Source organism: Homo sapiens, chromosome 8, assembly GCF_000001405.40.
Source record: "Homo sapiens chromosome 8, GRCh38.p14 Primary Assembly".
Classification (NCBI taxonomy): domain Eukaryota; kingdom Metazoa; phylum Chordata; class Mammalia; order Primates; family Hominidae; genus Homo; species Homo sapiens.
Genome location: NC_000008.11, coordinates 143,995,992 through 144,019,460, shown reverse-complemented (window position 1 = coordinate 144,019,460; position 23,469 = coordinate 143,995,992). Strand labels below are relative to the sequence as shown.

The 23,469-nt window shown below is 49.1% G+C and overlaps 2 protein-coding genes across 10 annotated transcripts in view, besides 1 other annotated feature; one reads left to right on the top strand and one right to left on the bottom strand.

Annotated features, from left to right (window-relative positions):
- Nucleotides 1-8,484, bottom strand: part of SPATC1 (spermatogenesis and centriole associated 1) — a 36,138-nt gene extending 27,654 nt beyond the window's left edge. For 5 of the 7 annotated variants that reach the window (XR_928329.2, XR_928328.2, XM_011517021.2 and 2 more), the window contains exon 1: nucleotides 6,735-7,181. Coding sequence is in view for 4 of the 7 variants with exons in the window: in XM_011517021.2 (XP_011515323.1) it covers nucleotides 6,735-6,945 (211 nt within the window). In the remaining 3 variants the exon portion in view is untranslated. Of the gene's footprint in view, nucleotides 1-1,278; nucleotides 1,645-6,734; nucleotides 7,182-7,870 lie in introns of those variants that run through there. The other 2 variants (XM_011517022.3, XM_011517025.3) reach the window with 2 other exon arrangements.
- Nucleotides 6,697-23,469, top strand: part of PARP10 (poly(ADP-ribose) polymerase family member 10) — a 35,607-nt gene continuing 18,834 nt past the window's right edge. For all 3 annotated transcript variants that reach the window (XM_011517336.4, XM_047422327.1, XM_047422328.1), the window contains exons 1-2: nucleotides 6,697-6,931; nucleotides 11,749-11,912. The gene's annotated coding sequence lies outside the window, so the exon portion shown is untranslated. The remainder of the gene's footprint in view (nucleotides 6,932-11,748; nucleotides 11,913-23,469) is intronic.
- Nucleotides 7,130-7,349: an enhancer, noted in NCBI's record as "active region_28085". NCBI's record gives its function as "activates an Ori minimal core promoter by ATAC-STARR-seq in GM12878 lymphoblastoid cells {active_cell/tissue: GM12878}" and the evidence as "EXISTENCE:reporter gene assay evidence [ECO:0000049][PMID:35858748]".

The following is a 23,469-nucleotide window of genomic DNA, read 5'->3' as shown; positions in this document are numbered from 1 at the left end:
CCAACATTTTCTGATTTCCTGCCTCTTCAGATTACCCACTCTGACCACACAGTTGTACCTTCTGTCTTGGGCAGAGATCACTCTGGCCACCTGGTCTCTGAGCCTCTCCAGATCTCAGTCCACTGGCCTCTTTATTTTCTCTCCATCTGACAGCACTCCTGGTTTTGGCTGCGCTCTCAGCCAGAGCAGCTTTGATGTGCCTGAGCTCTTGCTGAGCCATCCTCGGCACTGCCTGCTTGCCTCCCCCATGCCTGCCCTCAGGCTGCCAAATGCTGCTGGAGAAGGCAGGAGATTGATGGCTGCTGCCTTTGCAAATCCCGAAGATGGTTGCGCCATTCAGCCCACTATACATCCAGACAGACCCTCCAAGTTCTCCTCTCAGTTCCTTCCCCGTCCCTTTTTTTTTTTTTTTTTTTTTTGAGACGGAGTCTCGCTCTGTCGCCCAGGCTGGAGTGCAGTGGCGCGATCTCGGCTCACTGCAAGCTCTGCCTCCCGGGTTCATGCCATTCTCCTGCCTCAGCCTCCTGAGTAGCTGGGACCACAGGCGCCCGCCACCATGCCTGCTTTTTTTTTTTTTTTTTTTGTATTTTTAGTAGAGACGGGGTTTCACCGTGTTGGCCAGGATGGTCTCAAACTCCTGACCTCAGGTCATCTGCCCGGCTCGGCCTTCCAAAGTGTTGGGACTACAGATGTGAGCCACCGTGCCCAGCCCCCCATTTTTACTCTATTTCAGACCTTCCCCGCTCCATCCTTGCTCTCAGAGAAGAACATTTGAACAGAGAAAATTGAAGCCACGGGTCTGGAGTTCCTTTAGCTTCCCACCAGCTGGCATTCACACTCATGCTCTCCTTCCTCCTTCCCTTCTAGGATAGTGGAAGAGACTCTCTTCCTTCAGTCAAGGGCACTCCCCACCCCATAATGTACCTCTTTTATCTTGCGTATTTTCCAACAGTCTCTCCTGGCCTCTTCTTTCCACATGTAAACAAACTCAGGTCTCTGCCACCTTGAAAAGAAGTTCTGGACCTCATGCCCTCCCAGCTACTGCCCTCTCCCTGTCCACTCCCCTCACCCCAAGGCCAAACTCCTTGAATTAAGTATCTCCATCATCTTTTCTCTCCATTTTCTCACTGACTTTTCACCTCACCCTGGTCGGCCATTCCACCTATGATGGTTGAAATCACTCTAACCAAGGTCACGAATGCCAATGTCATGAATTGTCCACTGAATGCTATGGATATTTTTAGTACTTTTCTTGCTTGACCTCTTGGCAGCCTTTACCTTGCTGACACTGTCCCCTTTGAAGCTGTCTCTTGGCTTTTGTGACATTCTGCTTTTGAAGTTTCCCTTGCCTCTCTGCATGCTCCTTTGTCAACTCCTCTACCTGTCCTCAGTCAGGATCTGTCCTTCAGTCTCTTACTGTGCACTCTCTTCCCAGATGGCCTCGCCCCCTACCTCAGCTTGAATTATCAGTAACTCTTGAATCTTTTCTCTCTAGACCTGACTTCTCCGAGCTTCAGGCTCATAGTGCTACTGCTTCTGGACACTCCACGTGGATGTTGTGTGGACATCTTAAAATAATTTTGTCCAAAATACAACTCATTTTCTTGCTCCAAAACTGCCTTTCCTTCTCCCAGGCTCACCTCTAACATTTGCAGGGCTGTGGGCAAGAGTATAAATGAAAGCCCATTTACCAAGTGTCAGAGTAGTTAAAAGTTACCACTCAGGCTAACTGTTAAACTACTTTCTATTTTCTTACCCTGACAAATAAACCTTTGTAACAACCTGGAAGGTCAGATTTGAATTTGAAATTCTTGTACTAGTTTTGTGCCAGGATGTGGTAGATTGGAGAGAGCTGGTCCCCTGGCCCTGCCCTTCTGCACCCCTTCTCTTCCCATCTGAGCTCTGTCCTGCACTGAGAGGAGCCTGGTACACATGCTTATAAACATCCACAGCCCACCAGACCAAGCCCTGCTCATACCTCCCAAGCTGTTTCCTCCTGTGTTCCTCCTCAATGGGGTTGGGCCAGGTCTCTGGACCAGGGGGATTTCAGAGGTAGGGCTGTGCACAGAGCATAAGGGAGAAGGGTAGGCCCAGAAAGAGGAATCGAAGGCCTGAGTTCATGAGGACAAATCAAGAATAAGAACCCGACTCTATAAAGGAGGCCAGTCACAAGGAATGGCCAAGAGAACAGGCAGGTTGAGGAAGTGGCCAGAGAAAGATTCTCTGAGGCAACTATAGAGATCTGCCTTGGCTGGGACAACAGATACATTCTGGATGCTCTCTTTGTCATCCCTCACATCCAAGCAGTTAGGGTTTCTGTTTTCTTATTAAATAACGTGAATGGATTTCTCTCTACCTGTGGCTTATGCTGTCATCTCCCACCTGGAGGACTACAACAGCCTCAGTCTAATCCATCTCCCTGTCTCAGTCTACTCTCCCTCCAATCCATTTCCCCCATAGCATCTGGGGTAACGTTTCTGAAGCACAAACATGATTATTCTCTGTTACAAACCACCAGTGTCAGGCGGGTGTGGTGGCTCATGCCTGTATTCCCAGCACTTTGGGAGGCCAAGGTGGGCGGATCACCTGAAGTCGGGAGTTTGAGGCCGACATGAGACCAACATGGAGAAACCTCGTCTCTACTAACAAAATACAAAATTAGCCGGGTGTGCTGGTGCATGCCCGTAGTCCCAGCTACTCGGGAGGCTCAGGCAGGAGAATCACTTGAACTCGGGAGGTGGAGGTTGCGGTGAGCCGAGATTGCGCCATTGCACTCCAGCCTGGGCAACAAGAGTGAAACTTCGACACTCTGTCTCAAAAACAAACAAACAAAAAAACAAACAAACAAACAAACAAAAACCATCAGTGTCTTCTTAGCGCCTTCAGGAGCAAGTCCAAGCCCCTCAGCATGTCATCCGCAGTCCTTGGTGATCTGATGCCTCTAGCTGCATTTTTCACCTCTCCCTGGCCCCTGTCACACATGAACACACCACACACACACCATATACACTCACACAATCAGACATACGCCAAAATACAAACACCCACATAACACATACATACCACATACACTCTCACATACATTCACACACACACACAGCAACTCACACACACACAGAGCCATATGCACACATTCACTCACAAATCACACACCGTCAAAGCAGATACACCATATCCTCTCACACACACATGCACTGTTTTTTTGAGATGAAGTCTTGCTCTTGTTGCTCAGGCTGGAGTGCAATGGCGTAGTCTAGGCTCACTGCAACCTCTGCCTCCCAAGTTCAAGCGATTCTCCTGCCTCAGCCTCCCAAGTAGCTGGGATTACAGGCACCTGCCACCATGCCCAGCTAATTTCTTTTCTTTCTTTCTTTCTTTTTTCTTTTTTTTTTTTTTGAGACAGAGTCTCAAAAGTCTCCAGCCCAGGCTGGAGTGCAGTGGCGCCATCTCTGCTCACTGCAAGCTCCGCCTCCCGGGTTCACGCCATTCTCCCGCCTCAGCCTCCCAAGTAGCTGGGACTACAGGCGCCCCCACCACGCCCGGCTAATTTTGTTTTTGTATTTTTAGTAGAGATGGAGTTTCACTGTGTTTGCTAGGATGGTCTCAGTCTCCTGACCTTATGATCCTCCACCTCGGCCTCCCAAAGTGCTGGGATTACAGGCGTGAGCCACCAAGCCCAACCTATTTTTTCTTTTTTCTTTTCTTTTTTTTTTTTTTTTTGAGACAGAGTCTCACTCAGTCGCCCAGGCTGGAGTGCAGGGCATGATCTTGGCTCACTGCAACCTCTGCCTTGCGGGCGCAAGCCATTCTCCTGCCTCAGACTCCCGAGTAGCTGGGATTACAGGCGCCTGCCACCACACCCGGCTGATTTTTGTATTTGTAGTAGAGATGGGGTTTCACCATGTTGGCCAGGCTGGTCTTGAACTCCTGACCTCAGGTGATCCGCCCACCTTAGCCTCCCAAAGTGCTGGGATTATAGGCGTGAGCCACTGCACCTGGCCCACATTTTCTTTCTTTCTTTTTTTTTTAAATATATAGATGTTTTATTTTTTAAAAATTTTAAATATTTAAAAATTACATTTAATTTTCTTTTTACAGTACTGCTCCCTGTGCTGGGCGTGGTGGCTCACTTCTGTAATCTCAGCACTTTGTGAGGCTGAGGCGGACAGATTACCTGAGGTCAGAAGTTTGAGACCAGTGTGGCCAGCTTGGTGAAACTCCATCTCTACTAAAAATACACCAAAAAAAAAAAAATTAGCCAGGAGTACTGGCATGCACCTGTAATCCCAGCTACTCAGGAGGCTGAGGCAGGAGAATCACTTTAACCCAGGAAGCAGAGGTTGCAGTGAGCTGATATTGTGCCACTGCACTCCAGCCTGGGTGACAGAGCAAGACTCTGTCTCTCAAAAAAAAAAAAATTTTAAATATTTAAAAATTACATTTAATTTTCTTTTGACAGCACCGCTCCTTGTGAGAAACGCTAACTCCTAGGCAGTATGCCCAGAGTCAGCATCATGCACATTTCCCTACACACATTCATACACACTCATTCACACACCCACACCACACGCTCCATACTCACACTGCAGAGTATGTGTGGTGCATAGTGTGTGCCACATACTCTCATAGCGCATTCACACACGTTCACCCACGTGAGACACACATGGGTCAGGGCTTTAATTGCACATCTGTTTCTCATTCCAGCAATCCCTGGGGCCAGACACTTGTATGAGTCACTTCTACTTGTGGCACGCTCCTTTCCCCTTCACAACCAGTTGGCTGGGCTCACCTCCTCCAGGAAGTCTTTCCTAAGCCTCAAAGCTTGACCTTTTGGGAGTTGGAAGATCTGAAGTGGTCCAAGGATTCCCTTAAGAATGAAAGCTGGGAGGAGAGGGCTTGCTTGGTTAGCCTGGGAGTACGAAACCAGAGTCTAGCTTCTTAAACAGGAAGATTTCTTTCCTTCCTTCCTTCTTTCCTTCCTTCCTTCTTCTTTTCTTTTGTTTTATTTTCTTCTTCTTCTTCTTCCTTCTTTCTTCCTCTCCTCCTCCTCCTTCTTCTTCTTGTTCTTCTTCTCCTCCTCCTCCTCTCTTTTCCTTCCTTCCTTCCTTTCCCTTTCTTTCTCTTTCTTTCTTTCTTTTTTCCTTTCCCTCCCTTCCATCCTTCCTTCCTTCCTCTCTCTCTCTCTTTCTTTCTTTCTTTCCTTCTTTTTCTTTCAAAATTTCGCTCTTTTTGCCCAGGCTGCAGTGCAATGGCGCAACCTCGGCTCACTGCAACCTCTGCCTCCCAGTTCAAGGGATTCTCCTGTCTCAGCCTCCCAAGTGGCTGGGACCACAGGCATGTGCCACCACGCCTGGCTAACTTTTTGTATTTTTAGTAGAGATGGGGTTTCACTATGTTGGCCAGGCTGGTCTCAAACTCCTGACCTCAGGTGATCCACCCACCTTGGCCTCCCAAAGTGCTGGGATTATGGGCTGAGCCACTGCACTCAGCCTATTATTAGTTTTTGAGATGGAGTCTCGCTCTGTTGACCAGGCTGGAGTGCAGTGGTGTGATCTTGGCTCACTGCAAACTCCACCTCTCAGGTTCAAGTGATTCTCCTGCCTCAGCCTCCCGAGTAGCTGGGATTATAGGCGTGAACCACCATGTCCAGAAGATTTTTGTGTTTTTAGTAGAGATGGCGTTTCGCCATGTTGGCCATGTTGATCTCAAACTCCTGACCTCAGGTCATCTGCTTGCCTCAGCTTCCCAAAGTGCTGGGATTATAGGTGTGAGCCACCGCACCTGGCCCCATGTGTATTATTCTTTTTACCCTCTCTGTTGTCTCTGTGTCATTAGGGGTATAACATTTAAAGCTAGAGGTGTCTATGTGCTCGTAATCAGTAAGGGAGAACTGAAGACCAGCCCTATGCCACATTTCAGGTTGTATGGCAGGGAACCCAGTGGGTAGGGGGCAGGGAATTAAGACAGGAGGGGAGTGAGCACAAGCCTGAAGGGCTTTAGCTGCTGGAAAGACCCAAGTTATCAGTCAGAAACATGTCTAGTTTGGAGTGAGCTAAGTTCCAGTGACTCATTGAGCCTGCAGGATCTGGAGGGGATCTTGAGTTCTAGTGGAGAGTTGAAGCTGCGCTGTGGGTACGCTGGCTGAGGGTGGAGGGACAGGGCCTGGACCCAGAGCCTGGGAGCAGCCTCAATTAAGATGAGCCAGAGGGATGGACAAGATGGCTTGGGAACTCAGAAAGAGGGTCATGGAGGAGGGCTATCGATCTCAGATGCCATGCAGAGGTGGAGAAGGATGCAGCACCTAGGAAGGCACTTGTGACCGTTCTAGAGCAGTGGTGTCAGGGTTCGTTGCCAAGCTGTAGAGGCTTAAATAAGCAGAGACCAGAAAGAGCAGAGGTGTCCTTTCAGGGAAGGAGGAAGATTTCATACCTGATGGTGGACAGAGGAGAGGGCCAGGTAAGGAGGGCAAGGTACAGGGCCTGTGATGGAGGCAGGTCACCGCAGGGGTGGGTGGGCTCTGAGCACCTGTGGAGAGGTCCACCCTGGACAGGAGGGAATGCAGCCTCCTCCAGGACAGGAAGCACATTGTCTGGTGAGCTGAGTGTGTTAGAGCAGAGAGGGCAAGGAGAAGGGCACTCCCTCCATGACCTCCTGAGACCTCAGCACACTGAGTCTCTCCTCTCTGGTGCAGTCCCCACTTCCCTCCTCACTCTCTTGGGAGCGAGGCCTCTTACCATTGTTCTGGCGTGAGGAAAGGCCTGCTGTTGCCTCACCAAGCCCACTCGTGAACCCGCTGATGCCGAGCCCGCCTGCCTGAGTCTTGATCGCTGACTTGAGCTCGTGATTCTCCCGAATGAGCCGCACCAACTTCTTCAGTTCCTCATTTTCCCGCACCAGCCTCTCTATCTGATGCCGAAGCCCTTCATAATTGGTGAGTAGAGACATGCCCTGGGGCAGTGGCAAGGGTGCGGCCCACGGGAGGGCACTGCACCTGGAGGCTGCCCAGGGCCCCAGGCCTTGCCTGGGCTGAAGGAGGGTGCAGAGTCTGCAAGGCTGGCCCAGTGGGCCCTGGGTATTGTGAGGTCAGAGGCTGTGCCCTCTTCCTTGCCCTCTCTGCTCTAACACCCTCAGCTCTCCATGCCACCAGGCCTGTACACAGGCCTTGCCTCGGCCTGGAATGTCCTGACCTTTTCTCTGTCTCGCCAACTTCACCCTCATGGTGCCTCTTCCGTGAAACTTCCTCTCCCCCACCGCAAGTTAATTGCTGCCCGCTGGGTTTCCCCAGCAGATGTGTCCTGTGTCATAGCACTTCCCCTGGTTCCAGTTCCGTGCTAGCTCCTTAACATTGTCCACTGGCTTTACAGTGAGGTCAGGGATTGTAACACGTTCCTGGAAACCCCAGTGTCCAGCACAGGGCTTGGCACAATGTTTGTAGGTAAACAGTAAATATTTGTTGAATGAAAACCCACCACTCCACCTTCCTGGCCAGGATGCCCCTTCTTGGTGATCTTGAACATGCCTGGGTTTGGCCTCTCAGCCTTCTCCTGGTTGCTGTGTCTTGAAGGCCTGGACACTCGCCCATGATTTCTTCTGACCCAGGTGCTCAGAGTCTCTATCTTACTGCTGGTCCAGGAGCTCTCTATAACTTGGAGTTTCCATTTCTGGTGACTCAGCGTTCCCTATTCCAAATCTCCCGTCGTTGCCTTCTCCGCACTTGGATCTCTATTCCCCAGCTCCTTGAATTTTCCTGACTTTAGTCCTTCAGGAGCCCAAGACTGCATCCCTCACCTGGTTCTAAGAACTCAGGACTCAGTCCTCATGATGCTCCCCTTCTCTTAGAGCTATCTACAGATAACTCTATGGTACTGACCTTGAGTACTGAGTGAGGCCGTGTCCTCGTGGCCTCCATTGGCTCTGTGGCTGTTCTCCCTCAAACCTCTTTTTGGGGCAGGGAGAGGATAGCGAAGTCCAGGTACAGGCCAGAGGACAGACTCCTGGTAGAATGTGGGAATGAGGAAGGGGAAGAAGGTCAGCCAGGGCTGGGATCGCTGTGAGTTGAGCATTCTGCCTGGACCTCACAATGGGGGGCCTACCCCCACCCCTCCTCTAATGCTTCAGACTGTAATCCTGGCTCAGTCACTCTGGCCCCAGGGACCAGAGCCCCCAAGAACCAGAGTTGAGGTCTCTTCAGTCACCCCTCTAACTTTATAGAGTGTCTCTGTTGGGCTTTCCTTCAACATGTGAAAATTAGCTTGTCATGGTCTTATTTCACTGTTAGCCTCTTGGGTTGATGCAGTCAGTGATGGTTACATTTTATGTGTCAATTTTGTGAGGCTATAGTGTCCAGGTGTTTGGTCAAAATCTAGCCTAGATAGTGCTGTGAAGCTATTATATACTTGTAGCTATTAATCACGTCTATTAGACGTCTAATAGACGTGATTAATAGCTACAAGATGTTGACTTTAAAGGAGATTACCTTCAGTTATTTGGGTGGGCCTCATCCATTCAGTTGAACAACTTTTTAAAAATTTATTTTTTTAATTTTTAAATTTGTTTATTTATTTATTTATTTTTTTGAGGCAAGGTCTCAGTCTGTTGCCCAGGCTGCAATGCAGTGTCACCATCATAGTTCACTGCTGCCTCGACCTCCCATGCTCAAGCGATCCTGCTGCCTCAGCCTCCCAAGTAGCTGAGACTACAGGTGTGTGCCACCACACTCGGCTAATTTTTATTAAAAACATTTTTTTTTGTAGACATGGGGTCTTACCACATTGCCCAGGCAGGCCTCAAACTCTTGGGCTCAAGCAATCCTTCTGCCTCAGCCTCCCAAAGTGCTGGGATTACAGGTGTGAGCTACTGTGCCTGGCAGAAGAACTTAAGAGTGAAAAAAACCTGAAGTTTTCTGGAAAATAAGGAATTCTGCCTGAAGATTGTAGCATAGAATTCCTACCTGAGTTGCCAGCCTGCCTTACAGATTTTGGACTTGCCAGCCTCCACAATTATGTGACCAAGCCCTTAAAATAAATCTCCTAATATAAAAGAACTCCGGCTGATGCACCATCTCTGTTTCTCTTTGCATATGCCAGTGTTCTTTCATCCGAAAACATATGTTGGCCACCAACTGTGGCAGGCATTATGTTAGGAATTGGGGGTTCAGTGCTAGTCATAGCAGGCATTGTCCCCACCTTATCGACTTTACCAGCTAGTGGAGAGTGGCTATGAATTGAATGATCATATATAAATGCTGAGCTTACCCTGCGATAAATGCTGCCTGGGAGAGGCACTGGTGCTGGGAGAGGGTACAGCAGGTGGGCCAGATCCAGTTGGGGAGTGTGCCTCACCAAAGAAACCAAAAGTGTGGTAGAGCACAGAATGAGCAGGGTGGATGTATGTGCTGGGGAGGGATGGAGGGCCCAGGTTGGGACAGGGCCTGTGGCTGTGATCTTGATTGATCTTTAGGGAAGGGCATGTGGGAACAGATTGGAGGGAAGAAACTACTGAGTGGCACACAGTAAGGAGGCCACTGCAGTCCTCCAAGCAAGCAATGAGGGTGGCTGGTTCACAGGTGGTGCCATGGAGGTGGAGAGAGTGGGCAGAGCTGAGAAATGTTTAGTGGTGCTGGGTGGGCTGGTCTTGGAGTTGGCTTGGATGTGAGGATGAAGGCGAGAACGAGGGCAGGATGGCCTTGCGGCTTCTGGCATGGGTGGTGGAGCCTCTGGTTATACCAACCCAATTGGAAGGAAAACCAAGTTTAGAGTGAATATTTGGAGTCAGGTTTGGATGTGCTGCTGAGATCAGGATGTTAAGGAGATGAGCCAGGAGGCAGGGGGTACTGCTCCAGGTCGTAGAGGAGAACCTACTGTGTGGGCTGGAAAGATACACGTTAGAGGTATCAGCTCCTAGATGGCAACTGGATCTGTATGAGCGGATGAGGTTGCCCAGGAATGGGGAACGAATGAGAGAGAATAAGCCTTCAGCCCACTGTGCCTAGTAGAGCCACGACAAAGCCGCAGAGGACATACAGCAGAAGTGCCCACAGCGACAGGAAAACCGGAGAAGGCTGAGCTGGGAGGCCACAGGCAGAGCATATTTCAGGGTTATGTGAAGCAGCGGTGGTATCTAGTGAGGCTGAGAGGTCAGATGAGATGAAGACCGAAAAAGTGTGCGTCAGCTTTAGGGACTTGGAAGTCATTGGTGATGTATCAAGGGCTGTTTGGGTGAAGTGGTTTGGCCAAGTCCAGATTCACAAGTCTGAGCAGTGAGTGGGAGGGGAAGGTAGAGATGGGGCACACACAGCCCTTCCCAGAGGTTTGGATGTACGGAGAAGTGCCGGCAGAGCTGCAGGCGGGTTCCTCTTTCACTGTTCTCTTCCTCCTCTTGTAGCCTGGTGCCAGGGAAGACTGTGGCCCACCACGCCTCTGCTGCTTCCAGCCCCTCCTTAGACTCACAGTGCACAGTAGAGGCCCTCAAAAGACCCCCAGGGTCCCCCAGAATGTTAAGCTGCAGCCTCCTGCTCCTTTCTTTGAATTAGCCTCCGCCAGGCTTCCTCTCCTCCCCCTACTTTTATTTCCTCTTCATTCGCATTTTCTTTTTCTTTTTGTTATGTTTTATATACAAAGTGTCCTTTGGTATCCAAGTCTGTTGGGTTTGAGCTTGGTATAAAGAGTACCACAAGTTTGGGAGTGAGATTCATCCAAAAATGTATCCACATCCATTTGGATGACATGTCTGGGGGCTAGAGTCTGGGGAGTGAGAGACACTGGGCCTCTCTATGCTGCTCTCAGTCCTGCCCTTCTGAGCTCTTGGACAGTGTCACTTGGGAACAGTCCCAGTTCCTGGCTGCAGGGAGGCTGGGCCCGCAGGAGTGACAGGAACCTCCTGGGGTGCACTCGGGGTTTGCGCTCCTCCCGGCCCGTTAGGGGCTCACTGTGAACAAACCTCCAGTGTTGTCCCACTTGCTTTTGCTGAGTCAGATCTCCTCCTTCCCGTCTTGGGTCACTGGCTTTTGCACAGTTTGTCCCCATTCAAATTTGCCTCATTTGATTCCGCTCAGCATTTCAGCTTGGCAAGGCCTTCAGGGATCTTTGCCCCTTTCTTGGCTTGGGATTCTCTGCGTGTTTAATAAGTTTCCTTCTGAAGCCGTCTTTTCAAGGCATAAAGTTGCCGAAGAATGGGGGCCTGCAGCCGGGAGCCCTCTGTTCCATCCACCTGACAGGCCCCAACGTGCTGCCTCCATGCTGGGTGCGCTGAGAGGCACCTCCTGGGAAGCAGCTATCCGCCACATGTCCTAGCAGTACTGGCCATGCGAACATTTCAATCCTGCCTGCCGTGGCCATGTTGAACCTCCGGGTCTGCCTGTTGCTGACGAGGAGCTGCCGGGAGGTAGTTGTCTAGTCTGTGCTCCCACAGATTCAGTTGGCATTTGACTTCCAGGGCCCTCCGGGACGTCGGCAGTGACTCCTCTCCATTGCTCTCCTACACTTCAGACGATGAAAAGGCCATAGCTGACATTATTGAGCGCTTATTGTATACCAGGCACTGTCGTGACAGTCCTAACAAGCCCCCGAGGCAGGTAGTACCCCATCCAGCAGGCGGGGCCACTGAGTCATGGCCATGTCAAGTACCTGGGCTCTCCCATGGGCCCTGGGTCTTTCAACATTTTCCCAGCTGTCAAGGTCAGGGCTTGGTGCCGGCAGTCTAGTCTTGCACTTGCTCTTCTCGCCTCTAGCCTCACCTCTTTTGCTTCAGCCTCTCTCTGCACAGCTGCCAAGAGTGGGGGGGTGTCTTTCTGACACCCCATTGGAGCTAGGCTCTGCCCAGAGGAAGGACTTAGAGTGATATCTCAGGAGAGGACAAGGGCCACAACAAACTCTGCTCTGCATCCCAGAGCTCAGCACAGGCCCCGGCACATGGTAAGTGCTCAATAAATATAGGAATGCATTTTTATTCAACCTTTTTCCTTTTTCTAAAGGAATTGCACCATGAAGCTGGAGAAGCTGCTGTATACCAGCAGTTGAAACAGACAAGATAATAACTGGCTTCTGAGTGTCTGAGGACATGCCCCTGGTTTCTGAGGAAACCAATATCCCTTTGATTAGTCTGGAGGGCCCTGGGGAGGCAGACAGTCCCCACAAGAGGAGGGATATCTGCTTGTCTACCCAGGGCCCTGCCAACCAGGAGCTGGGAAGAGTGGCCTCAGAGGAAAGTCTCCTGAGGTCTTGGCTAGAAGTAGAGACTTTTGGTAATATGAACTTGGTCATCAACCCCAGGGGTCATCCAGGTACCCCTCATGAAAGGCTTAGGGACTAAAAGCCAGGGACAGAGACCGGGAGGGCTTTGTCGGGCTTTGGAGCCTTGCTAACTTCTCTGTGTTGTTGGTTTCTTTCTGCTGTTTACACAGCATTGTTTGGAGGGCAGCAAACAATGTTTGGTGGGGCAGAGCAGGGGGGCGGCATTCAGGCTGGGAGTCAAAGACCAGGAAGGGTGGAATGGAGAGCAGGTGGACACGAAGGCTTGCTGGAGGTGTGTGGTTGGGCTTCCAGCCCCTCAGACTCCAGAAATGACCATGGACTTGGCAGCTTAAGCAATAAACATTGATTTTTCATGGTTCTAGAGGCTGGGAAGTCTAAGGTCAAGGTGCCTGCAGACCTGGTGTCTGGTGAGGACCCTTTCCTGGTGCGCAGATGTCTGCATTCTCGTGTCCTCACATGGTGGAGTGGAGAGAGAGGAAGCAAGCTCTCAGTGATCTTTCTATAAGGCTCCACCCTCATGACCTCATCACCTCCTAGTGCCATCATATTGGGGATTAGGATTTTAACACATGCATTTTGAGGGGGGACACAAACATTTAGTCCATAGCAGACTCCAGAGCCCCAACTTCAGACCCATGTTACTCCCTGACCCCAAACTTTGGTTAATTCCTACTCTTCCTTCAGACTCCGCTTGCGTGTTGCCCCTCAGGGCCCCCAAAGTCTTCATCACTCCTCATCAGACCAGTGCCCACCCTTCAGCTGTAGCACAGGGGAACTAGAAGCACCACTTCCCAGCTTTCTCGCTATGGGCCTGGGGCAGGCCCCCAACCTCTCTGTGCCTCTGTTTCTTCATCTGTCGAGTGGGGATAACGTCCCTCCTCCTGCTGTCGTTGTGAGTGTGAGATGCGGTGATGCATGGAAGACAGAGAAGGCACTGGCTGGCAGAGTAAAGCTTAACACACTTTCTCTTCAACCCATAGATCTTGAAAACCTGCTAGATGCCAGGCACATCACGGGTCCCGCAGGACACAGCAGGGAACAGCCAGACATGTGGGAGCCATTGCTCTCTCTCTGGCTCTGTTTATATTGCCAGGAAATGCCCAAGGCAGCCAGGCTGGAAGTTGATCAGGGGACTGGGGAGCACTGGGGTTAGGGGGGCCCTAGGATCTGACAGGCCTGAATGAGGGTCCCCACTCTTCAGTCAGTGTTGAGCACCATCTCTTACCAGTGCGGGGAGAACAGCAAAGGCTCTGGAGCTGACATTCTGGAGGACAGTGGGCACTTGGAAGATGGTCAATGTGGTGGTGGTCTGTGCTCCGTGCGGAAGGTGGAGGAGGGGACGGGGGCAAGAGCGGAGGGGGCTGTCTGGTATGGAGTGGTCTGGAGGCCTCCTTGACAAGGTGCTGCTTGGGAGCAGACCTGAAAGAAAGCAGGGAATGAGAAGGGGCAAAGCCTTCCAGGTGGAGGGGACAGCCAGTGCAGACGCCCTGGGGTGGGTAGCAGGCTTGGTGTGTTTTTGAAGACCGTCAAGGAGGCCAATGAGATGGAGGGGAATCAGCCACTGTGGGGAGGGGACGGCCGGGCCAGAGAAGCATGGGATGGAGTCTGTAGGCTGAGATGAGGTTTTGGATTTTACATTCAGTGACATGGAAAGGCTACGAGGGTTTCTAGGGAGTAGGAGGAGCTACCCTCATTCAAAGAACTGTCCTGATTTTTAACAACCAGTTCATACGATTATGATTGGCAAGCCCTAGGGCTGCAGGATAGTAGCCTCTGTTAGGTGGCTCAAGTCCACTACCAGCACTTCTGTAGGTGCTTGGTAAATCTTTGTGGAGCAAATACTGGTGCTCTGCCTGGGCCTGTCTGCTTCCCTTGCTCTGAGGCCTCAGGGTAAATTCCAGGCCTCCTTGCTTTCTCCTCTCACTTCCTGTATTTCCATCCACCTTCAGCAGCTCATCTCGGACTTGGTGGATGCTGGTCCCTCCCCGATGCTCTCCTTACTCCTCTCTTGGTAGCTTTTTTTTTTTTTTTGAGACTGAGTCTTGCCTTGTCACCCAGGCTGCAGTGCAGTGGTGCAATCTCAGCTCGCTGCAACCTCTGCCTCCCGGGCTCAAGTGAGTCTCGTGCCTCACCCTCCTGAGTAGCTGGGATTACAGGCGCCCACCACCACGCCTGGCTAATGTTTGTATTTTTAAAAGAGATGGGGTTTCACCGTGTTTGCCAGGCTGGTCTCGAACTCCTGACCTCAAGTGATCTGCCCGCCTCGGCCTCCCAAAGTTCTGGGATTACAGGCATGAGCCACCGTGCCCGGACTCTTGGTAGCTTTTCAACCGTGCCCACTCCATTCACCCCAGGAGCCTGCCCTGCTCCCAGTCTGTGCCTTGTTCCTGCTCTGGGACACTGGGTCTGACTTGGTGCCTCTGTCCCACCCTTGCTGGACCCCACAGCTGAGCGCCGACCTGTGAAACACTGTCTCTCAGATATAATCTGTTCCTGAGTGGAGAATGAGTTGGTCCTCTCCCCAACCCTCAGCTCAACTGAATCAGCATAGACTCTAAAAAAGGAATTTTCATCAGGAATCTCTGTGAACATAGGGAAGGAGACAGAGGGGCTTGGTTTAGGCCCTAGCCTGGGGAGTGGTGTTTAAATCTAGCCCAGTCTTCCACCTGCTGCGTGGAGTTGGCAGTGTGAGGTACCGGGAGGTGGGGCTACTTCACTTGTGGCGTGGGGACAATGACACCTACACTCAGTTTGTCCTAAGGGTCAGAGGACATCTGGTAGGCACTGAGGCCAGTGAATGCCTGGTCATGATTTAATTTTTGTAAAACGAAAACTGTCCCCATTAAACAATAACTCCTGCTTTCCCCTCCCCGCAGTCCTGGCCCCCACCATTCTACTTTCTGTCTCTTAAGACTTAAGGGGGACACCATGCAGATTTCTTCTTTTTTTTTCTGAGACAGGGCCTCGACCTCCTGGGCTCAAGTGATCCTACTGCCTCAGCCTCCTGAGGACTACAGGCAAGCGCCACCATACCCAGCTAATTTTTTGTTTTTATTTTTTGTGGAGATAGGGTCTCATTATATTGCTCAGGCTGATCTTGAACTCCTGGCCTCAAGCGATCCTCCTGCCTTGGCTTCCCAAAGTGCTGGGATTACAGGCGTGCACCACCACGCTGGCCTTTGTTGTTGTTGTTGTTGCCCAGGCTGGAGTGCAGTGGTGCAATCACGGCTCACTGCAGCCTCGGCCTCCCAGGCACAAGTGATCTTCCTGCCTCAGCCTCCTGAGTAGCTAGGACTATAGGCATGTGTCACCACACCTGACTAATTAAAAAAAATTTTTTTTTTTTTGTAGAGATGGGGCCTTACTATGTTGCCCAGGCTGGTCTTGAACTCCTGGGCTCAAGCTATCCTCCTGGTTTGGCCTCCCAAAATGCTGAGATTGTAGCTGTGAGCCACTGCGCCGGCCCCTATGCAGATTTCTGTTGCTCTTTTTTTACGTAGAGTTGCCTCCTTTCTAGAACTCTGTCCTGGAACTATGTTTAGCTTCTTCAGCTTCTCCAACCTGATTTTTATCTCAGGGAGATGCCACTGCTTTGCCTGGGACTGTTTTCTGTCACGTGGCCTGAAATGTGCCTCTAGGCAGAAAGCCAGGATGATCATAGTGTTCCTGTCTCCGGGTCCCAGTCCTGTGCTGCCTGTTGCATCACAGGACAGTTTTACAAAATGTTTGTATAATTTCTGAAAATCATTGTTTCATAACCTTTTTTTTTTTTTTTTTTTTTGAGACAGAGTTTCACTCTGTCACCCAGGCTGGAGTGCAGTGGCGCAATCTCAATCTTGGCTCACTGCAACCTTCGCCTCCCAGGCTCAAGCGATCCTTGTGCCTCAGCCTCCCCAGTAGCTGGGATTACAGGCATGTGCCACCATGCCTGGCTAATTTTTGTATTTTTAGTAGAGACAGGGTTTCACCTTATTGGCCAGGCTGATCTCAAACTCCTGACCTCAAGTGATCCACCCGCCTTGGCCTCCCAAAGTGCTGGAATTACAAGCGTGAGCCACCGTGCCCGGCTGTTTCATAACATTTTTTAGTTGTTTGTAGTGGAGTGTCCATGTAAATCCTGGTTCTGTCTTAGTCCTTTGTGGCCAGAAGTCTCCATATTTATTTTAAAAATCGATTGTCCTGCATTGGTTTGTAGGAATTCTTTTTACATTTTTGATGGAAATCCATTGTCTGTTGCATGTGTTATGAATATCTCTCCCAGTTTTTAACTTGTCTTCTCAATTTAATTAATTTGTTTTTGAGATGGGGTCTAGCTATATTCCCTAGGCAGGTCTCAAGCTCCCGGACTCAAGTGATCCTCCTACCTTGGGCTCCCTTATTTTTTTATTTTTCAATTTTATTTAAGGTATCTTTTGATGAACAGAAATTCTTAATTTGAATAGTGTTGAATGTTTTTGTAATTAGTGCTTTCGTGTGTCTCAAGACAGAAGTTGTAAAGTTTTGCTTTTGAGATTTATATTCTTCATCCAACAATGGTGGATTTTTATTTTGAAGTAGTTACCCAGTTTCATCTTTAAAATGGGTGTGGTTCTATTGTTAGCTTTTCTGTTATATTCCTTTTTTTTTCTTTTGGTCTATTCTTGCATTAATACCACACTGTTTTAATTGTTATTGTTTTATAATATGTCCTGATATCAGGGCTAGTCCCCATCCAGAATCTTCTTCAGAAGAAGTGTCCTGAGTATTTGTGTATTCCTGTTCTTTTACTCTTCTATGTCAATTTTAGAATCAGCTTATTGAATTATGTTGGGATTTTTTTCTTTTCTGGAGATAGGGTCTCACTATATTGCCCAGGCTGTTCTCAAACTCCTGGGCTGAAGCAATCCTCCTACCTCAGCTTGCTGAGTAGCTGATACTGCAGGCATGTACCACTGTGCCTGGCCTATTGTGATTTTTATTGGACTTACATTGAATAAAGATCAATTGGTATGAGATTTACATTTAAAATTAAGATGCCTCTATTTAAAATCTTTTATTATGGAAAATTTCAAACCTATTGAAAAGTAGAGAAAATAGCCTGACGGGCCCACATGTATTCATCACCCAGCTTGTACAATTATCAGCATTTTGTGAATCTTGCTTCATTTATCTCCCTCTTGCCTTTTTTTCCCTAGAGTATTTTAAAGCAAATCCCAGGCACTTTATTGTTTTATGAGTATTTCAGTATCTCCACGGGTAAGAACTTTGATATTTAACATAACAATGACATTATGATGTCTAACAAAATTAACACTGAGAATACACACACACACACACACACACACACACACACACACGTATATATATTTAAAGATGGATCTTGCTGTGTTGTCCAGGCTGGTCTCCAACTCCTAGGCTCAAGCAATCCTCCTGACAAACTGTTGGAATTACAGGCTTGAGCCACTGTGCCCAGACTTTTCTTTTCTTTTCTTTTCTTTTCTCTTTTCTCTTCTCTTCTCTTTTTGAGATGGAGTTTTGCTCTTGTTGCCCAGGCTGGTGTGCAATGGCGTGACCTCTGCTCACTGTTACCTCTACCTCCTGGGTTGAAGTGATTCTCCTGCCTCAGCCTCCCGAGTAGCTGGGATTACAAGAGCGAGCCATCACATCTGGCTAGTTTTGTATTTTTAGTACAGACGGGGTTTCACCATGTTGGCCAGGCCGGTCTTGAACTCCTGACCTCAAGTGGTCCGCCTGCCTCGGCCTCCCAAAGTGCTGGGATTACAGGCGTAAGCCACCACGCCCAGCCTGTATTTTGAATTAAATTTATATTTTAAAAACTAAGGTTCGGCCAGGCACTGTGTCTCACGCCTGTAATCCCAGGTACTTGAGAGGCTGAGGGTCTCTGAGGTAGGAGCGTCGCTGGATTCCAAAGGTCCAGGCTGCATGAGCCGTGACCATGCCTCTGCACTCCAGCCTGGGCAATAGAGTGAGACTCTGTCTAAAAAATAAAAACTAGAGGCCAGGCACGGTGGCTCACGCCTGTAATCCCAGCACTTTGGGAGGCTGAGGCGGGCAGATCACGAGGTCAGGAGATCGAGACCATCCTGGCTAACACGGTGAAACCTCGTCTCTACTAAAAATACAAAAAAATTAGCCAGGCGTGGTGGCAGGCGCCTGTAGTCCCAGCTACTCGAGAGGCTGAGGCAAGAGAATGGTGTGAACCTGGGAGGCAGAGCTTGCAGTGAGCCAAGATCGCGCCACTGCACTCCAGCCTGGGCGACAGAGCGAGACTCCGTCTCAAAAAAAAAAAAAAAAAAAAAAACACACACACAAAGAATTTATTTTTTGTAGAGATGAGGTCTCACCACGTTGCCCAGACTGGTCTCAAACTCCTGGGCTCAAGCGATCCTGTCTTGGCCTGGTATTACAATCATCTGGGATTATAGGTGTGAGCCACCATGACCAGCTGATTTGCTAATGTTTTGCTTTTTTACATATATGTTTATGGAGATATTGGCTTGTAAATTTCCTTCCTTTTAATGAGCTTGTCAGAATTTGGTATCAGTGTTACACTAGGTGTATTAGTTTATTGTTTGTTTTTGAGATGGAGTCCAGTTCTGTCGCCCAGGCTGGAGTGCAGTGGCGTGATCTCGGCTCACTGCAAGCTCCGCCTCCCAGGTTCTAGGTATATTAGTTTATTAGCATTGGTAAAGTCCATAAACAGAATAGCTTAAACAGCAATATTTGTTCTTTACAGTTCTGGAGGCTAAAAGTCTAAGATCAAGGTGTCTGCAGGGCCTTGCTCCCTCAGGTGCTAGGGAAGGATCTCTTCCAGTCCTCTCTCCTTGCTTCTGGTAGTTCCTTCCTTGTGGCAACACACCTCCAATCTCCACATGGCATTTTCCCTGTGTGTGTGTGTCTGTGGTCAAATTTCCCCGTTTTATAAAAGCATCAGCTATGTTGGATTAGGGAGCCACCCCACTGCAGTTGACTTCATCTTAACCAGTTACATCTTCAACAACCTTATTTCCAAATTAGGTCACACTCTGAGGTACTGGGGATTAGGACTTCAGCATATGAATTTGGTGGGGGCACAATTTACCTCACAATGCTGGGCTCGTAAAATGGTTGGGGAGTTTTATGAGATGAGCATAACCTTCTTTTTATGCAAGTCTTGGTAGATTATGGGTCGATGTCTTACCGGTTTTGGAAACATTTCAAGCGTTATGTATTCAGACATTACTTCTTCCCCATTCTTTCTACTCCTTCTGGGACTCTAATTAAGGGTATTTGTGACCCTACTCCCCACATTCTCTTATACTTTGTTCTCTATCCATTCTCTTTATTCTCTTCGTGAGTTTTAGGATATTTTCTATCGACCTGTCTTCCAGTTCACCAATAGTTCACTTCTGACTTCTCTAATTTGCTTAAACCTGTCTCTTGAATTTTTGGTTTCAGTTAACTGTATTTTTCTATTAAAGAAGCTCAATTCGAGCCAGTGCAGTGACTCACACCTATAATCCTAGCACTTTGGGAGACCTCATCTCTATAAAAAATAAAAATTAAAAAAAAAAAAAAGAAGCTCAATTTGAGTCTGGATGCGGTAATCCCAGCACTTCAGGAGGTCGAGGCAAGAGGATTGCTTGAGGCCAGGACTTCGAGACCAACATGGGCAATATAGTGAGACCCCCGTCTCCTCAAAAAATAAAAATAAAAATAAAATATTAAGCTGAGCGTAGTGGCTTATGCTTGTAATCCCAACACTTTGGGAGGCTGAGGTGGGCGGACCACTTGAGCTCAGCAGTTCAACACCAACCTGGGCAACATGGTGAAACCCCATCTTTACAAAAAATACAAAAAATTAGCCAGGGGTGGTGGTGCATGCCTGTGGTCCCAGCTACTTGGGAAGCTGAAGTGGGAGGATCCACTTGTGCCTGGGAAGTGGAGGTTGCAGTGAGCCGAGATTGTGCCACTGCACTCCAGCCTGGGCGACAAAGTGAGACCCCATCTCAAAAAGAAAAAAAATAGCCAGGTGTGGTAGTGAGCGCCTGTGGTCCTAGCTACTTGGGAGGTTGAGGCGGAAGGATCTTGAGTCCAAGAGATTGAGGCTGCAGTGAGCCATGACTGTGCCGCTGTACTCCAGCATGGTCAACAGAGACCCTGTTGAAAGACAGAAAGAACAAGAAAGAAAGAAGGAAGGAAAGAAAGAAAGAAGGAAGGAAGGAAGGAAGGAAGGAGAAAGAATTAAAGAAAAGCTTGATTTGATTCTTTTTTTTTTTTTTAAACAGGGTCTCACTCTGTCACCCAGGCTAGAGTACAGAGGTGTGATCATGACTCACTGCAGCCTCAAACTCCCTAGCTCAGGTGATCCTCCCGCCTTAGCCTCTTGAGTAGCTGGGACTACAGGCACACACAACCATGCCTGGCTAATTTTTGTATTTTTTGTAGAGATGGGGTTTTGCCATGTTGCCCAAGCTGGTCGCAAACTCCTGGGCTCAAGTGATCCGCCTGCCTTTGCTTCCCAAAGTGTTGGGATTAAGGCCAGCCCTTGATTCTTTTTATAAAATCCAATTGTCTGGGAAAATTCTCCACATTTTCTTCCAGTCTTCTCCATTTCCATGTGTATTTTTCTTAACATCCACCATATTTATTTAAAGTCCTTATTTGCTGTCTTTAATCTTTGAGTCACCTCTGGGTCTGTTTCCTCTTGGTTTTCAGTCATAGTGTCCTTTCTTTTGAAATGCCTAGTAATTTTTAACTGAATGACAAGTGTTGTCTATAAAAAATTGCAGAGGTGGTGGATAATATCTTTTTCCAGAAAGCACTTGCCTTGTCTGATTACCTTCAACCAATAGAGGCAGAGCTGAGCGGAGTCTGGGTTGTAGTTTTGCTAAAGCTCTGTCTGGTTCACATCTGCCCCTGGTCCAAGCCCTCTAGGTTCCTAGCTGAGAGCCTGGGGTCTCGCCAGTGATCCTTCGCTGGGTGGGTCCTGAATGAGAATCCCTGTCTCCTGAGTGCAACTGCTGTGAATCACACAGCTGCAACTCTTTCCTCACAGTTGAGGGGTCTCTCTTTACATTTATTTATTACATTCCTGCTCAGCTACATATATTTAAGTGTTTTAGAATATTTTGTCTTGGCTAGGCACGGTGGCTCATATCTGTAATCCCAGCACTTTGGGAGGCCAAGTTGGGAGGATCGCTTGAACCCAGGAGTTTGAGAACAGCCTGGGCAATATAGCAAGACCCTGTTTCTACAAAAATAAAAATAAAAATAAAATTAGCCAGGCATGGTGGTGGGGCACCTATAGTCCCAGCTACTTGGGGGACTGAGGTAGGAAGATTGCTTGAGCCTGGGAGGTTGAGGTGCAGTGACCCATGATCTGTGTCCCGGTCTGGGTGACAGAGTAAAACCCTGTCTCAAAAAAAAGGAAAAAAAAAAAAGAATTTTGTGTAGCAAATTTTATGTGTTAAGAGTGGGAGTTGGTTGCTTCAGTTACTGCTGGGAAAAAAAAGAGTGGGAGTTGGGATCTCAGGTCCCAACTCCTGGGACTCAGTTCAGTCCACCGTCTTGGCTGGAAGTTCTCCAAAGAGAACTTCAAAGAAGTGAAGGAGTTTAAGCAGGGGAATGACATTATTCGATTGTTCATCAAAAAGATCCCTTTGTGGTGCTGAGGCTAGATTAGGGGTTGCTATAGAGGTGATCATGGCCTTGCCTTCAGGGAAGGGCACAAAGTTGAGAGTGTTCAGAAGATAGAACCAGAAATAGCCAAGGGTCGTGATAGCATTTGGGTTAGAGAGGAAGATTTTGAGCTTGGTACTCGAGTCCTCCCACGAAGCTGTGGATACCAGTGAAAAGCTGGCCAGACTGGGAGGAAGGAGTTGCACGACAGCCTCGGGTTTGGAAGTTGCAGTGAAAGGGCAAGAGATGTGGATGACAGAGTGAAGTGGGTCCAGAGGGTGGAGGGCCTGCAGAGAGAAGAGGTATTATCCAGCAGTGAAGAGATGGGAGTTGAGAAGTTGGGGGTGGTATTTGCATTTTGGGCATTCTGAAAAGTCTTCAGTGTGTCCTACAAGCCTTAGACAAAGTAGACATTTGGGAGACATTTGTAGTGTCTTGATGCCAGCATGAGCCAAGCCATCCTGCTGCCTGGGAAGCAGCATCTGGGCCCTGGCGGAGGAGGGGCCACCTTGAGAGCCTACAAGGCTGGGACCAGGTCCCCCAGGAGTCCCTCCCCTCCCCCTTCCCGCTGCCCCCAAGTCTGGGTCTCCCTGCCTGCACCATCACCATAGTCTTCACTGATCTTCCTGCCTCTACTTAAACCATCTCAAGGATGATCACTGCCTACAATATACAGTTCAGACTTTTGAGCTTTTTACTTATGGCCTCGACTGGCCTCCTCAGCCCGCTGCGAGTCTCCCATGCGTCCTCTCCTTCTTCTACCTGCTTCCCCAAATGTGTCTCCTGCATCCCCTGGGCTTTAATGTTGCTCTCTGCACTCCTCAGATGCTGACGTTGAGCCAAGGTCCAGCAGATTATGGCGTCCTCTGGGCCTGGTGAGGGCAGTGAGCATTCATGCTGATCATGCCGTGAAAAGGTCATTCCTTCCTTTCACGTTTGACGCCTGTGGTGTGCCAGGCCCTGGACTAGGTGCTAGGCTGGATGTTAAAACTCACAGAGCACAGTCTCTGTTCTGAAGGTGCTTCCAATCCAGAGCTGCAGAACAGTGGCCCCAGTTAGCCAGAGGCAGTGGAATGGGGTTCCCGTGCTGGTTTCACCTGAGCTGGGGTCCAGAGCTGGCCCCAACTGTCTGTTAGGGTTTCAGCAGGCACCGTTGATTGACAGCGTTGCTTTGCAGGGTGGGGAATGGGGTGGAGACTTGGACATTTTGTTCCATAGATGTCTGTGTTGTTTAATCTTGAAATCAAGTGTGGGTTTAATATTTGCTTACGTATATAACTTGTTTTTTGATTGAGAAATAAATTCCTTTATTTAAGTCTCTTTTTGGCCTTCATATAGTCAGTGACCTGTGTCAGTGCTCCTTGTGAAGCCCCGGGGACACGCCCATGCTTGAACACGCCCGTGGCTGCTCATCGTGGGGGAGCGTCCACACCCTGGGGCGTCGTGTTAAGAGGGTGCTGGAAAGGACTTCTTACAGGATTTGGCTTGAGTAATCTGGGGGAGGGTTTAGGGAAGCGGGACTCTGCTCTGGATTGGTGCTGTCAGGAAGCAGGCGTCA